The 15,997-nt window shown below is 44.0% G+C and overlaps 1 long non-coding RNA gene across 3 annotated transcripts in view, besides 1 other annotated feature; it reads left to right on the forward strand.

Annotated features, from left to right (window-relative positions):
• The window catches only part of MIR3681HG (MIR3681 host gene), a 571,233-nt gene that overhangs the window by 28,724 nt on the left and 526,512 nt on the right, over window positions 1-15,997 (forward strand). The window lies entirely within an intron of this gene.
• Window positions 10,560-10,669: an enhancer, noted in NCBI's record as "active region_15336". NCBI's record gives its function as "activates an Ori minimal core promoter by ATAC-STARR-seq in GM12878 lymphoblastoid cells {active_cell/tissue: GM12878}" and the evidence as "EXISTENCE:reporter gene assay evidence [ECO:0000049][PMID:35858748]".

Consider the following 15,997-nt stretch of genomic DNA (forward strand, 5'->3'; position numbering starts at 1 on the left):
GCTGGGCTGCCCCTCGTACATCATTGCAGCTCCCCTTTCCCCACCAACCCAGCACTGTGGAAGGAAGCCCACGTCTTTCTCAGCATACTCCTCTGCGACGCCTGGGCCATTTTCTTTGTCTTGTGTATACTGACTTGTTGGCTTTATTAGCAAGTTTCTCCTCCCTTTTCAGCATCCAGCACAGTTGTCCCCTCCTCTAGGAGGGCCTTTTCTTTCATTCCTCATAGGGTTGACACCATTTCTTTATGACAGCTCTTAACACTTTTAGGTTCTAGTTATTCACTAAAGTTTGGACTGTGGATTTCACTCCAGGGAAAGCATGCTACTTAGTGCTGCATTCTCAATGGCTAGTCATATGTGGTGCATAAAAAGGAGTCAATAGCTGGTTCTTACAGCCTTATAGATAAACTTACAGATTAGAGACTTTCCTCTGACATATCCAATTATCTATGTGGCTTTAACTTTCAGGCATGTGTCACCTGACCTAGTGCAGCATATCTCATTGAGTTTAAAATTGAGAAAAAATGGCATAGGTTCCACTTATACAGTGATTTGCAATTCACATACTTTCATGAAAGCTTTGATTTGGGGCCTTATCCATGGGAAACAGGAAGGGCATACACTCAATCCAGGAAATGAATATTGTCATCCCCATTTTACAGATGAGAAAACTGAGACTCACAGCAGTTTGTTGATTTATTCCTAGTTACAAAGAGAGTAAATTCAGAGCTGGGTCTTGTACCCGGGCCATCTGAATCCCAGCTCAAAATTTTTTAACAACATTGTATTGTTGTTGTTACAAAAGCATAACAATCATTTTGTGGGTTTTATAAAATAAAAGAAAACCACAACCCTCCATGATAACAACCATAACAAAGCCCTTGAACACTTCGGGGCAGATGCTATCTATATTTACGGGTGTAGCGTGTGCTGAAATGCCACTGGTGTGTGAGCAATACCCAAAGCCCGGGCACACAGGACCGGCTGTGTTGGGCAAACATCGTCACAGCTCATCGAACTCAAAGATTTGCAAACATAAAACATTTTCCAAGACTTGTCTCCACGAATGAGTGAGCCAAGCCCCTGGGGTGTGGCTATGTTACTCCATCAAAACAAACCCCAAAGCAGACCTTGGTGGGGTTTCAGGTCTTCTATTTGGGAATAAAGGTATGATTCATAATTATTTGGTCCAGGTGTGCAAGTGCAGGCCAGACCTTCCTTCAGAGCCAAGCTGGGCTGATGGACTCTAGCATTCCTCTTCTACAGGCCCTTATAGTGCCATTTCCAGGTTCGCTTTGGGCAGAGATGCAGGGGAGGCTATAAAAGCCAAATTCGCCATTCAGATGGTCTGTGGTTTATTAAGTGGGTTTAGATGACGTCTCAATACTTATGGGTGAGATCTTTTGGATCCTTAGGTTACCCCAGGTACTTAGGTCAAAGGCGATCTTGGCCCTCTGTGGGTCCTTTAAAATAAGGCTCAGGGAGGGTCACTCTATGTCTAATTGAGCCAGTGAACCCAAAGCAACATGTTTGCGTTGGAGAAACTCATCAGCAGCACCTGTACCTGGTCCCTACTCATGTCTGGGCTGCCCAGTTCTCCTCTCCCCTTTCCCCAGCTCAGGCCCTATCAGTTTCCTCCTTCCTTCTTGAACCATGTCATGTGACTTCTCCTTGAACAAACCCCAATGGCTGGCCCAGCTCCCTGACTCTACCCTGCCTCTTAAAATATCAGCTGAGCTGAATGATCTAAGCACAGCCCCAGACTCAATTTATCCTGGTCATACCTGAGAGCCATAACCTTGCCCCAAACCCTCTCCACGTAGGGAGACAGCAGAACATGGAGGGCAGAGTCCCATCCTGGGGACAGATAGCCTGGGATGAGAGCCCTGGTTCTGCTCAGGGTGATGTGTGTGGTTTTCGTCACACCATTACAAACCTTGGCTTTGTTTCTGCATCTGTAGATGTGAGGCTGTGCAAATAGCAGGGCACATCAGGGGTCTGTTTCTGTTCCTGGCTACCTGTCCCTGAGCCACACCCTTTCCCTTCCCTATGCCTCAGTTTACTCCTTCATGAAATGCAGCTTATAGTACCTAACCCAGGGGTTAAAATATATACCATTTTAAAATGTAACTATCAGTATTGACCAATCATTGTCCTGATTTTTTTATAGTGTACTTTTCTAATCATATGTTTTAAAGCCAAGAGAACTGGTTGAATGAATGTTTATTTTCCTGAAGGTATTTTTAAGATAAAGCTTCCTAATGGCCTATAAACGTTTCATATATGTGTAGTTTGATACATATTGTCACATTTGAAAATCATGTGAGTTGAAACTGGTTTTATACAAAATATAAAATAGTGGAAATTTTATAATTACAATCATGTAATTAAAAGTATTAACTAAAATATGTATGTATGTGTCTATATATATACCATTTACGTATATATATATACCATTTACAAGATCATAGATTTGGTAGGGATTGAATGAGATGATGGATAGGAAGCACTTTTTGTAATATCTGTGTTTTAGTCTGTTTGGGCTGCTGTGACAAAGTACCATAGACTGGGCAGCTTATAAAGAACAGAAACTTATTTCTCAGAGTTCTGCAGGCTGGAAGTCCAAGATCAGGGTGCCAGCAGGGTCAGGTTCTGGTGAGTGTCCTCTTCCAGCCTGCAGACAGCTGTCTTCTCATGATGTCCTCACATGGTGGAGAGAGGGCGGGACAGCCCTCTGGGGTCCCTTTAACAAGGGTACCAATCCTATTCATGAGGATCCCACTCTCATGACCTAATGGCCCCCAGGTATCCTGCCTCTTAATACCACCATCTTGGGGTTAGGATTTCAGCATATTAATTTGGGGAGGACATAAACACTCAGTCCATTGCATATCTGTTTCATAGTAAGGACTCAGTAAATGCCAGTTATTTTTATTCTCATTATTAGGGAGGGCTAGGGCCTGCCTGGGAGAACCAGAGGTGGGTGGTCAGCTTCGTCATGACAGAAGCAGGAGCCACCAGGGCCTGTAAAAGGAGAAGGGTCCAGGTCAGGTGGGTGGAAGGCTGCAGGGGTGAGTCAGGAGAGGGTGTCACCTGCAGTGGTCGGATCAGAGGCAGCAGGGCTCTCATCCCCGGCTGCTTGTTGAGGATGGAGGGGCAGGAAGTCCTAGGTGGAAGGATGGAATTCTGGGAGCAGTGTAGTTGGGTGGGGGGCTGAGGGCAGGAATCGAAGCCAAGGATGGGTCTGGATCTGAGAAACCACAGGCAGGGAGATCAGGGCCTAGCAAACTTTGAGGACACCTTTGGTGTGCCAGGTACTGTAGGGTGTGAGGCACAGAGGAGAGGAAGAGGAGGGCTCCACTCACCTGGGAGGACTCCAAAGCCAAGTGCAAGTGGCCTAAGGGGTCAGCCCGAGTCTGAATATTAGGAAACAGAGATCCCTGATGTGTTTTTGACTAAAAAAATCATTTTATGGTTTTTCTCATTAAAAATAGTAAGCACAAAGTATTTCACAGGCACACGTAGGAGGGGCTATATATAAATGTATGCTATGATGACAAAAGAGTTTGGATTCAAAGGACCAGAATTCAATGATGTTACTCTTTGTGCAGACTTGGGGCTCTGTTTCCTTATCTAGTAAAAGGGGATAATGATAAGGTCATTGATTTGTCTGGTCATTTTGACCATTACATGAGACAGAGAAGGTGAAAGTGTTTTGCACACTATGCCACCCAAATGCTAACTGTCATACTTGAAGATCTATTTTTCCTTCTGAGAGATAAATCATACATGTTTTTAATCTCTGCCCTCTGTTTTCCCTTTTACAGTTCTCAGGTAGATGCTACTGTCTGCTTCTCTCTCCATTCAGTGATTATAAAATAACTTGGGAAGCTAAACAGCCTGTAATTTTCCTAACTCAGAACCTTGGTAGCCTTTGCTCTGTGAGCTGGGAATTTTAGAAAGGCTTCCAGAAAATGCTCTGATTTTCTGCGGTTGTCACTTTGATGGGAGCCCTTTCCCAGCTCGGCTTGTCCCTTCCTTTCAGAGACCTAGGGAAAGAGAACTCACACTGGTGGAGTAGGGATGGGTGCTGGGCACCTGCGCACGGGGTGTCTGGCACATGTGACTAAATGAACCGGAAGCTGAGTGGGGGATGTGCATGGCACAGGACTCGAGAACAGGTCCGCCCTGAGGGAAACTGAGTCAAACTGAGGACCAGCCCTTTGTTTCAGGAACTGTTCTCCCTTTCCCATATGAATATCTCGTTCTCACTCTGCAGTAAAATGCATCTCTCTCCCACTGTCTTCCCACACCTCAGTTTCTGATCAGCTCTGGCCCGACATTGGCGTGTGAGCCAATCATGTGTTTACAGCACGTTGAGGTGGATCACGCTCTGTGGTGCTTGGTGTTTTTACATTTTTGGCGACCTTTGAAAAAAAGAATAGACAAATGGCCCTGGCTGCCGAAACAAAGTACCACAGGCTGCATGGCTTAAACAACAGACATTATAGAAGCAGCAGAGACTCTAGAGCCTGGGAGTCTGAGCTCCTGGTGTTGGCAGGGTTAGTTTCTTCTGAACCTCTCTTCTGGGATTGCAGGTGGCTGTCTTGTCCCTGTGTCCTCACGTGGCCATTCCTTTGTGTGTGTCTGCATCCTAACGTTTCTTTATTTTATGCTATTTTAATTTTTGTGGATACATAGTAGATGTATATACTAATCTCTTCTTGCAAAGGCACCAGTCAGATTGGATTAGGACCCACCCTAGTAACCTCATTTTAACTTAGTTACCTCTTTTAAGACCGTATGTCCAAATACAGTCACATCTGAGGTACTTGGGGTTAGGGCTTCAATATATGTATTTGGAGGTACACATTTCAGTGCATAACAGAATACAAAATTGTGAATACAAAATGGGGTTTGGAGCTTTGGAAAGGTTCTGCCCAAGTGAGGGGTCCTGGAGCCTAAGCCTCACGGGCTTCCTTGTAAATTGGCTTCCGAGTGGCAGCAGCCCTTGGCTATGACCATGTTAGTGGGGTGTGGGGGAGCAGTGGGAACAGATGTGTCTGGAGTGTCATGTGCGGATCAGGCAGGTGTTACCACCTGAGGGCAAGGAAGGGGACCTGCCAGCCTGCTCTCTGTAGACTCATTTTAGTGCATAAGTAAGGATGATTGAGGATGCAGGTGGATTTTCTGAAACAATAAACCCATCAAAAATGAAACACCACCACCATCACCACCACCATTGAAACACCTATGAACTTCAAAGCAGAGCATCTTCCATGAAATGCATTTCTTTCCTTATGGACTCTACTACTTCTTGCCCTATTCACAACATGGCCAGAGCTTTACAGAGTAAAAATAATTCCAACTGGAGAGCGCTTAACAGTTTATAAGGCACCCTCGCATCCACACCCCACCCATCTTCTGAGACAGGTGTCAGCATTCACCTGTACTGCTGGGGAATCCCAGGCTCAGCAGGTTGAAGTGACTCCCCCATGCTCCACAGTGAATGAGTGCCAGGGGCCCTGCACCGCATGTGCGTCTTAAGGGCTGAGCTCTTTTTACTACTGTACACCATTTTTCTTTGTGTGCCAGGGGCGATGTCTCTAAAAATAAATCTTCATGCTAATGGGACTATCATGACAAAGCAACAGACACTCAAGCCTTCAGGCCTGGAATCCGGGCCATAAAATTAAGCTACATGAGACGAGAGAGTGTAGTTGGTTACAAGGGAGTTGGAAATTATCAGAGATCTGACCAGCCAAATATGAATCTATGGAAATATTCATTTATTATCAGTTTTTACCCTGCCTAAAGTCACAGTGGATAGGATAGTGTGGCCTAGCCAGGTAATTGAAACGTTTCAGCACATTGGGTGGATCTTGGCCTGGGAAACTAAGACAAGACTGAGGAACCTCAAGGAAAACCAAAATGGGGAATAGGGTATGATTTGATTCATGCCAGCTTGATTCATGTTAACTATACTTTGCAGTAATTACTCTAATTAGTGGTTTTGAGCATGATGAAAGAAAATAATTGTAAGTATTTATGGCTGGTCAGTGGGTTACAGATTGGACAATCAAGAAAAGTAGACAATGAAACATGGTATAGCTGAGTTTACTCCATGCTGTAATTAACATTCAATGCACTCATCATTATGTTCATTTGGTGACAGCACAACATTTAGTGTGAGTTCAGGAGCCACGGCAGAGCAGCTTTGAAGGCAGCGTCTCTGGAGTGACTGATCTTTATGCCCCAGCCTCTATGAGGGGAGCCACACAGTAAGAGAAGGCCCATGAAGATTGGTTGGTTGGTTGAGGGAATGAATGAAATCATGAGATCCACACTATTGAATTGAGAAAGAATGGACAACTTTGTTCTACATGTGAAGCCCACCACCCAGGCTGAGCAGACAAATATTGAGAACAAAATGAAATCCGGAAACGGTATGCTGCACTTAGGGCAAAAGTGACCTGGTAATTTCTCCTTCATGAGTCCTTAGTAAAGGGACTTCCTAGAGATGTGCTGAAGTAAAATCATTTCCTGGATATGCCCTCTCCATTTCCACCTTTGCTTTCATACATATTACTTGTATGACTATGCTACTTCCTCTGTAAAGTGGAGCTAAAAGAGAACCACCTGGTAGTTCTGTCGGGATTGAGTGAGCTCACATGCATGCTGTCCACTCTGGGCAGGAACACAGTAGACGCTCAGTGAGTATCGGTGGCTGCTCCCCAGCATTCTCACCCCATCCCCGTCTCCTCTTGCCCAGGCTCCTGGAAATTCTCCTTTGTTCCCCACACATCTTCAAGTCCAGCTCAAGCCCACAAGTGTTCCCCAGCTCCCCTGCATGCATCCTCTCTCTTCCAAACAGCCCCATTCTCGGTTCTGAGTTGGGTCCTAGTTGGATGTACTTAACCTTGTTCCTCAAAGCACTCTCATGGGACAACAGGAATCCCCCCCCCTTTTTTTTAATGTTTCTCTTTCACTCAATTCTTAACGGGTGATTACAAATTGGTTAGATCCAATTAGAGAATCTTGACGTGGCCACTTAACTAGCTATGTGGCTTAGAGTCCACCACTTTCTCTCTTGAGCCTCAAGTTCCTTGTCTGTAGGAAAAGGGATAATGATTTCTACCTTGCAGGGTTACAGTGATTAGAAATAGTGTTTATCAAGTGCACAGTACAGGTTTTAGCACATATAAGAGGCTCCACACGTAGTAGGTAATGATGATGATGATGATAACAATAATGATAGAATAATACAGCAGCAACAACTGATGTTTATTGAGCTCTTATTATATGTCCGACATTTTCAAAGAATGTTTCTCATCTAAACTGTCTTAATTTGGATAAATTCAACTACAAAGAATGCTGGACCAGGTTGGGAGTGGTGGCTCACTCCTGCAATCCCAGCACTTGGTGGAAGGATTGCTTGAGGCTAGGAGTTCAAGGCTACAGTGGGTTATGATTGCGCCACTTCCCCCCAGCCTGGGCAAGAGAGGGAGAGATGCTGTCTCTATACAAAGAAAACAAGAAAAGAAAGAAATGATACTGGACCTTGCACAATGCTTTTATGGGAAAGATGATGCATCTTGATGGAAAACAAATATAGGAGTATTTAATATGTGCCAATTGGTTTGCATATGTACAAAGCCAATCACCAAAACCATAAAACCAGCAATAATGAAGAATTTACCAAGATCCCATAGCTAGAGGAGAACACAGGGTCAGAATTTAAGCTCAGGTTTTTCTCACCTCAAAGTTCTGCTCTGAGGACAGGAGTGGTGCTAGGAGAATAATGCAGGCTTTACCCTGTCCCTAAGGTGCAGGGTCAATAGTCCAAATTGCAGTGTCTGAGGGATGTGGTAGAGTTTAGCCTGATTCAGGCTCTATTAGCCCTCAATGGACCTAGGGTATGAGGGCAGATACTAGTAGGCAGAATGGATGTTGTAATACAGGTGCATAAAAAGCTTGGGCTTCCAGGAGTTTGGTGCCTTTGAGAAGCTCAAGGCTGTGTAGACCTTGCCAGGGATGAGCTTCAGGTTTTGGAGTAAACTTCACTGAAAAGACCAAGGCACATGGAAAAGTATTTGGAGAAACAGGTGTGGTCTGTGGTGTGAAGGAACAGATCAATGCTAAAACTCCGTCTCTTAGTCAGTGAAACTAAGTTGCCTTCTCCACGGTCGTCTAAGGAATTGGCCAGACCTAAACTTACAGGACAGCCTAAAGCTCACAGGGTGGGAGTCATGTAATTCACATGGAAACTCTGGGAGGCGGTAGAATCACTTAGTTCCTGGTTAATGGAAAGGGAGACTGAGGATCATGGAAGTGATATAATTTTTCCAAGTTCATAAAGCTTATACATGTGGAAGTGTGGGTTTGATCCAATGTTCTTTGCTCTTCTGCTTGAGTTATTTGCCCTATTCCAGAGATGGGAAAAGGAATTCCAGGAGACAGCATGTGAAAAAGCTGAGGACTTGGAAGGGTGGCTGGTCAAAATATTCATTTGACAGGATCAGATAAATGGATTTTTGTGTGGAAAAAATGAAAGAGGAAGAAACACCAAACACTGCCATTGCTTAAGAACTTCTCCAAGTGCTCTAAAACTGGAGATGTGTCTAGTCCTTTATGGTAAAATATAGGCTGTCTGGGCTTCCATCTCCCCATATTGGAAGTAATGCTTAGGGAAGCTTGGTCTTGGGAGCCAGATGAATTTGGTTTCAAATTTGAGTTCCACTATTTACTAGCCTCTCTAGACTCAGTTTCTTCATCTACAGGGAGAATCATAAAGTCTACCTTGTGTGGATTGGGATCAATATAAAGAAATCACTTAGCCCTTCTTGGTGCCCATGAAATGATAGTTGCCATTTTTTACCATCATGACCCTCTATTTAGGAGGAGCAAAGAACATCTAGGAGATGATAGAGGGTCATGATGAGTTCTAGCATCTAGGAGATCACAACAACTAAGGGCTCCAAAAGGGAGAGAGAGATGAAGAGGAAACAGGGGAGACAAAAAAGCAGTATTTCAAGGAGACAAGAGGAATCTATTTTCACTTGTCATTTGCATGCGTGGAAGGATGAACACCCCAGAGGGTTTCTGCTGCTCCTGGCTAGGCGTTGCCGCTACTGGCCTGCAGAGGATGTGGGCATACCCTCAGTGCAACAAAACAAAACAAGTTCCCTTTCCTTTGGACCGTGATTAAAGCCACTGTGGGTGTGCTTTGCATGTACAAAGCGTATTTTCAATTGAGATCTTCAATCAGCATCTCATACAATTTGAGAAGCAGCCTTAAGCCTACTGCTAAGCTTGCTCAGGACTTGGCAGGGAGTGAATTCAATGCCAGCTCTACATACGGCGTCTACAGCTACGATTTCAGCCAGGGCTTTGGAATCTTCAGGTTTGGTGGAGCTGTCTTCTCCAGGGAGAGGCTCCTAGTGGCCCATAATCTGGATCTTTGCAGCTGAGTTAAGAGAAAAAATATTAGTATCATAATCTGCCAAGGAGTTTGCGGCCAAATGCCAGCTCTGACTGCTATTCATTCATGCACTTGATAGACATTTGCTGAGTGCCTACTGTGTCCCGGGTCCTGAGCCAAGTGCTGAAGGTTCAAATATAGTATTAAAAATAGCAAAATGTAGCTGCCATTTATTGAGTACCCAGTATGTGCCAGGCCCTGTGCTAGGCAATAATAACGTGAAGTGAGAACCAAGAATAGTGATAATTTTCACCACTTTTTAGTCATTTTCAGCTGGGTACTCAAGTTTTGCTCCTGTGTTTACCCCTCACACAGCTTTGAGAGGACGAATCCTAGTTAGGAATTGGTTACCATTTGCTATCCCTCAAAAACCTTTAATTACTTGTCACTTTTCCGTGAAAAAGTCATTAAAAATTTATATTTATTTCAGACGAGATGGGGCACATTCAGGGTGGTCTGGCTGTAGACTAAAAATTTGTATTTATTTCAAATAATAAGTATTCTTCAACAGTCATAATCTACCACTTCTCTTCTGGGATGTCTTCTAACTGAGAGAACCTTGAGCAGTCGCTGGGGCTTCCCATGCTATCCCAGTATCGGCCATGTGTCCGTGCGGCACGGGCAGATGGTTTTCCGGTCAGGTGTAACTGAAATGTATTTTCTCAACACAGTCTGGCAGGCAATGCAGTCTCCACAAATGCATATCACATCTCATAAAGAAACCATGCATATTGCATGAGCTCCAAATGTAGAAACAGATACTCATAAAATACAAGCCTCAAAATAAAACCGAAACATTTCAAAACAACAGCAGTTGCAACGCCACCAATTTATTTATTTAATTTTTTTTTTTTTCAACAAGATCGTGAAACAAATCCCCACAGTCCCTGAGCAGAATCTGAAAATCCCAACAGCCCTGGTGAGGGTTTGAAATGGGTCCTTCTTGTAGGTGGGGGAAGCAATAGACTGACAGACTCAGATAGCAGTTTTGTTGAGCAAAATGTCTTTTCCTGATCTGGAAGCTGGCAAAGATGAAAGCAAAATCAAATAGCAGTTTTTCCAGAATGGAGTCAGAAGGTCCTATTTTTGCAGATCCCATTTCTGAATGGTTTGAAGTCTTGGTAGCTGGGGCTACCTGCCCTGGTTTGGTCGTTTTCACTCTCAGTTTTGAGGTGACACAGGGCAGGGGTCTTGTTCTGTTTCCTCCCAGGTGCCTAGTGCAGTGCCCAGGACCTATGGCTCAGTGAACATCTGTTGGATGCTTTTCCCAGCCCTGTCCCCAGCTGTTCACTCTAATTCCATTCCCTCCTTTCCCGTTTTGGAGCACGTATTGCTATGCGAGTGAGAGTGACATTATGATGGGGATAACCTTTAATGTGCTCTAATTTATGAAAAAAGTAACATTTAAAAAGTTGGTACTTTATTATTAGTGCTGTGGACATCTGTTGATTTTGGATTTTTAGCATTCCTTTCCTCTTACAGTAACAACCACCTCCTTTCTGTTGGGAAATTGGCATTCCTTTCTTCTTGCCCCAGGGAGCATGGGTTGCTCTCCCCTTTACATGTTCTTTGCATCCCACACAGATTAGGCAGTTTCTGCAACATTGTAAATCACAATTTTTTTGTTTTGTTTTGAGATGGAGTCTCATTCTGTCGCCCAGGCTGGAGTGCAGTGACACGATCTTGGCTCACTGCAAGCTCCACCTCCTGGGTTCATGCCATTCTCCTGCCTCAGCCTCCCCCGAGTAGCTGGGACTACAGGTGCCCGCCACCATGCCCAGCTAATTTGTTTTATTTTTAGTACTGATGGGGTTTCACCATGTTAGCCAGGACAGTCTCGATCTCCTGACCTTGTGATCTGCCCGTCTCAGCCTCCCAAAGTGCTGGGATTACAGGCATGAGCCACCACGCCTGGACGTAACTCATTAATTTATTTGCCATTCTTTCTACTCCCTGGTCTATGTGCTTATTCAAGGTGAAAATGGTGTGTTATTTAACTCCGAAGTCTCAGCACATAGTGCAGGATGCCTGGGTGCAGTGCAGGTGCTTGGGGAATGCCTACTAATGTGAGTCCAGTACATTTTAATGGGCAGGAGGGATACTACTGACTTTCCATCAATTAGACACCACTTCAAGGAGCTTCCCAGCAGTGGGTGACGTTTGCATGGAGCCATCCTTAAACTCTCTTGCCCCTGTTTAGGTTTTGCTGCTGGTTCTGCAGTTTGTAGTCACAGACCAGAGGAAAGCCACAGGTAACTGGTAGCCAAGGGCTTAGAATCTTCAGGGATAAAGGTCTGGGTCACCCATAGGTCACCTGCAGAGGTGCAGGTCAAGATAAGGGAAAATTAAAACAGATGCTGGATGTGATAGTTTACTTTATCTGTCAACTTGGTAGGCCATGGTACCCAGATATTTGGTCAAATACTAGTCTAGATGTTGCTGTGAAGGTGTTTTTAGTTGATATCAATATCTAAATCAGTAGACTGATCTAAAAGAAGCAGATGATCCTTCCTAATGTGGGGTGGCCTCATCCAATCAGTTGAAGGCCTTAGGAGGAAAAAGACTGATGTCCCCCAAGGAAGACAGAATGCTGTCAGCAGAGAGCTTTGGACTCAGACTTGATCATCAGCTGTTTCCTGTGTCTCTAGCCTGCTGGCCACCTGCAGATTTTGGACTTGTTTGTCTCAGTAATTACACCAGCCAATTCTTTAAAATAAACTCTCAATCTGTATGTATATCTCCATCCATCTATCCATCCACATATCTATGTATGTATGTAAGTGTATCTATCTATCATCTATCTAATCTATCCATTCACCTATTATCTATTATCTATCCATCCATCTATTTACCTATTTGCTATCATCATTTATCTATCATGTTTCTATCTATTCTCTCTCTCTCTCTCTCTCTGTCTCTGTCTCTCTCCAGTTTTGTTTCTTTGGAAAGCCCTGAGTGATACCCTGGAAAAGAGGGGTGGTGAGTATCATTTACAGCCAGGAGACAAATGGGAGCTGTGGGGATTGTATTTTGTACCATAAATCCCCTCATTTAGGTTTTTCCAGGGAACAAGACAAATCAGTACCCTGGAGAAGCTGTTCCCTGAAGGGGCAAACTTACCAGAGGAAGCAGGTGGACCTGAATGCCACAAGGGGTGGATTAGGAAAGATTGTGCTGTTCAGCCTGAATCCCTTCTCCAAGGCCAACATGCCAAGTGCCTAGCTGCTGAAAATACCAACCACTGCCGCTGGTTCACAGCCCGCCTCACTAGGAGTTGCCCTTGGCTGTAGGGAGGGAATGGCCTTAATCAAGGTTTCATCCCCTTTAGAGGGTAGCTCCTGTCATGGCCAACTGATGCAGAGATACAAAGCTGTAGGCTCTGTGCCTCAAGCTGGGATCTGGAGAAGGGCAGTCGTGGCTCCAGAGCCCCCTAGAGGGCCAGTGAGGGCTCAGCGAGGACTCAGTGGCAGCTGCATTGTTGCTTGGTTTCCCCCTCTTCCCAGACCTGCTTCTTCATTTCCTTTGAGGTGTACCTTCAAGAAGCATTGCTCTGTAGTGTGACTCTCTGCCTCAAAGTCTGATTCCAGGGATCTTGATCTGGGACAGATGGTTGTTAGCATGTTACTTGGCACCAGCAGGTACTCAAGGAATGTTAGTTTTCTTCTGTTATGGCCTTAACCTACTCTTAGAGACTGTATCAGGAAAGAATTTCTAATGGCTTTCACCTTTTTTTTTTTTTTTTTTTTGAGACAGAGTCTCGCTCTGTGGCCAGGCTGAGTGCAGTGGTGTGATCTCGGCTCACTGCAACCTCCGCCTCTCAGGCTCAAGTGATTCTTCTGCCTCAGACTCCCGAGTAGCTGGGACTACAGGCACACGCCACCACACCTGGCTAATTTTTGTATTTTTAGTAGAGATGGGGTTTCACCATGTTGACCAGGATGGTCTCGATCTCCTGACCTTGTGATCCACCTGCCTCAGCCTCCCAAAATGCTGGGATTACAGGCCTGAGAAACCGTGCCCGGCCAGCTTTCACCTTTTATTTGTAGTGTCTATTTGGTAGCAATGGTCCCTGTCATTCAGTTTCAAAGGGAGTTGACTTCCTAACTTAAATTCATCTTTTCCTGCTTGAAGTGAACCCTTATTTCTCCCATCCTGCACTCTCCTTTTTTACACCCATGCACACACACACACACACCTCTTACATCGACTACAGCAATCAACCAACAAACATCAACTGTAGAAGAAGAGTATAATTGTTTCAATTTGTGTTTCTGAATAAAGTGGTTTCTAGATAAAGTTTGCATTTGACATAAGATTGTCCTTAGAATTTTTTTCTCTCAAACTAATTTAGAGGAGTGGAAAGAGATGGGATGAGAGTTACACTTAAGTTGCAAATACCTTTTCTGTAGTGCTGGGACAAAAATAAATCCATGAAGTTCATGGGTTAATAAAACATCTTGGCAGGGCATGGAGGCTCACACCTATAATCCTAGTACTTTGGGAGGCTGAGGTGGGCGATCATGTGGAGTCAGGAGTTCGAGATCAGCCTGGCCAACATATAGTGAAACCCTGTCTCTATTAAAAAAATACAAAAATTAGCTGGGCGTGGTGACACATGCCTGTAGTCTCAGCTACTAGGGAGGCTGAGGCAGGAGAATTGCTTGAACCCAGGAGGTGGAAGTTGCAGTGACCCGAGATTGCACCACTGCACTGCAGCCTGGGTGACAGAGCAAGACTCTGCCTCTCAAAAAAAAAAAAAAAAATCTTGCAACTGATTTTAATTCACTCTTGATTCTAAATTTCATCTCTCCTTTTTTTTTTTCTGTCTGCTTACTCAAAGGGATGTTTTGCAAATTGTAGAACCTTCAGATTGACATCAGTAAACAAACAACAACAGTTTATGCTACTTTGATATTTCGAAATACAAATTAAATGCTCTGTTTATCTGTCAGCATTGAATCCAGTCATACTAATTATCCTCTGGGAATTCGATAGTTTTAAAACCCTTTTACCGTCAGAATCCAGAGATAAAGGTGGGGATAAAAGGAGAGAAGGCAACTTGCTTAGTATCTTTTGCTACCAAACACCTCCAGTGACAGCACCATTTACTCTTTACCTCAGCATTGACAGAGGCAGAGTTGGTCTCCTGGAAATGAATTTTGCTGCAGTTGCTGCTATTACTATTGTTACCGTGGGGTCGCTCCTGTTCCTGTAAATGCTGAAAGCTACTCTGGATTCGTAGCCCAAAGCGAACTTCCTTCTACACACACTCACTCTGGTTCCACCACAGCTGTGCTGGTGCAGATGTGAATCATCTTTGCAAACAAACTGAAGATTATTTCAAGAGTTAGTCTAATGAGTAGTGAATGTGGGCTGATTACTGTATTTGCAAAGAAACTTATTTTTTCCAACATCGTGCTAAAGAACAGACTGGTACTTCCCATAGGCTTATAAAAGTAAGTAATCAACGTGTTTGTGTAAATATTTAATGATGTCCACATTCACATTCATGAATCAATGGGCGATCATAATTGCTTTTGTGGGATGTGATAGACACAAACTTAAACAAGAACCCACCATATCTTAGCAAGCTTTCTTATGGAATGTAGAAAAAAATATGGTGATTAGAGAAACATTTCTACCATGTGAAAAAATCTTGCATAAATAATTTATACTTCGCTGGGCTTGGTGGCTCATGCCTGTAATCCCAGCACTTTGGGAGGCCAAGGTGGGCGGATCACTTGAGGTCAGGAGTTCAAGACCAGCCTGGCCAACATGGCAAAACCGCATCTCTACTAAAAATATCAAAATTAGCAGGGCATGGTGGTGTACACCTGTAACACTAGCACTAAGGAGGCTGAGGCAGGAGAATCACTTGAACTGGGAAGGTGGAGGTTGCAGTGAGCTGAGACTGCACCACTGCCCTCCAGCCTGGGCAACAGAGTGAGACTCTGTCTCAAAAAAGAATTTATATTTGGATACATTAAATTATATATTTATCTTTATTTGTAACATTTTCTTTGTGATTTAGTTTCATAAATCTAAGTTAGATCAACTTGACTTGCTGATTCTTCACCAGGTGCTGAATTTATTTGCTCACAACTTCACACTCATAGAACAGGCACTTCTTGATCCTTGGCTGTGTAATATGGTTCAAAGTTTAGAGTCACAGAGAGACCTGGCTTTGACTTCCAACAGTCCTGAGTTCAAATCAATTTCTCTGCTTGTTAGTTGTTTGACTTTGGACACATCAACTAAGTCTTTGTGCTTCACTTTCTTCACTTATAATATGGGGGTTATAGTCACCTAGCAGAGCTGCTGTGAGGATTAAATGATGCAGCAATTTCCGGTATATAGTAAGTTCTCAATAAGTGGTTGTTTCTTCCCGTTTCCTTTAGTGTACCTGGAAGCTTTTGTAATCCAGATGTGAAAGAGAACCATAACATTCCCTGAGAAACTTCTGGTTTATAGTAGTTTGGGAAAGCCAAACTTTATGTGAATAAGAGAGAGAGGAGG

This window comes from Homo sapiens, chromosome 2 (genome assembly GCF_000001405.40).
Source record: "Homo sapiens chromosome 2, GRCh38.p14 Primary Assembly".
Classification (NCBI taxonomy): domain Eukaryota; kingdom Metazoa; phylum Chordata; class Mammalia; order Primates; family Hominidae; genus Homo; species Homo sapiens.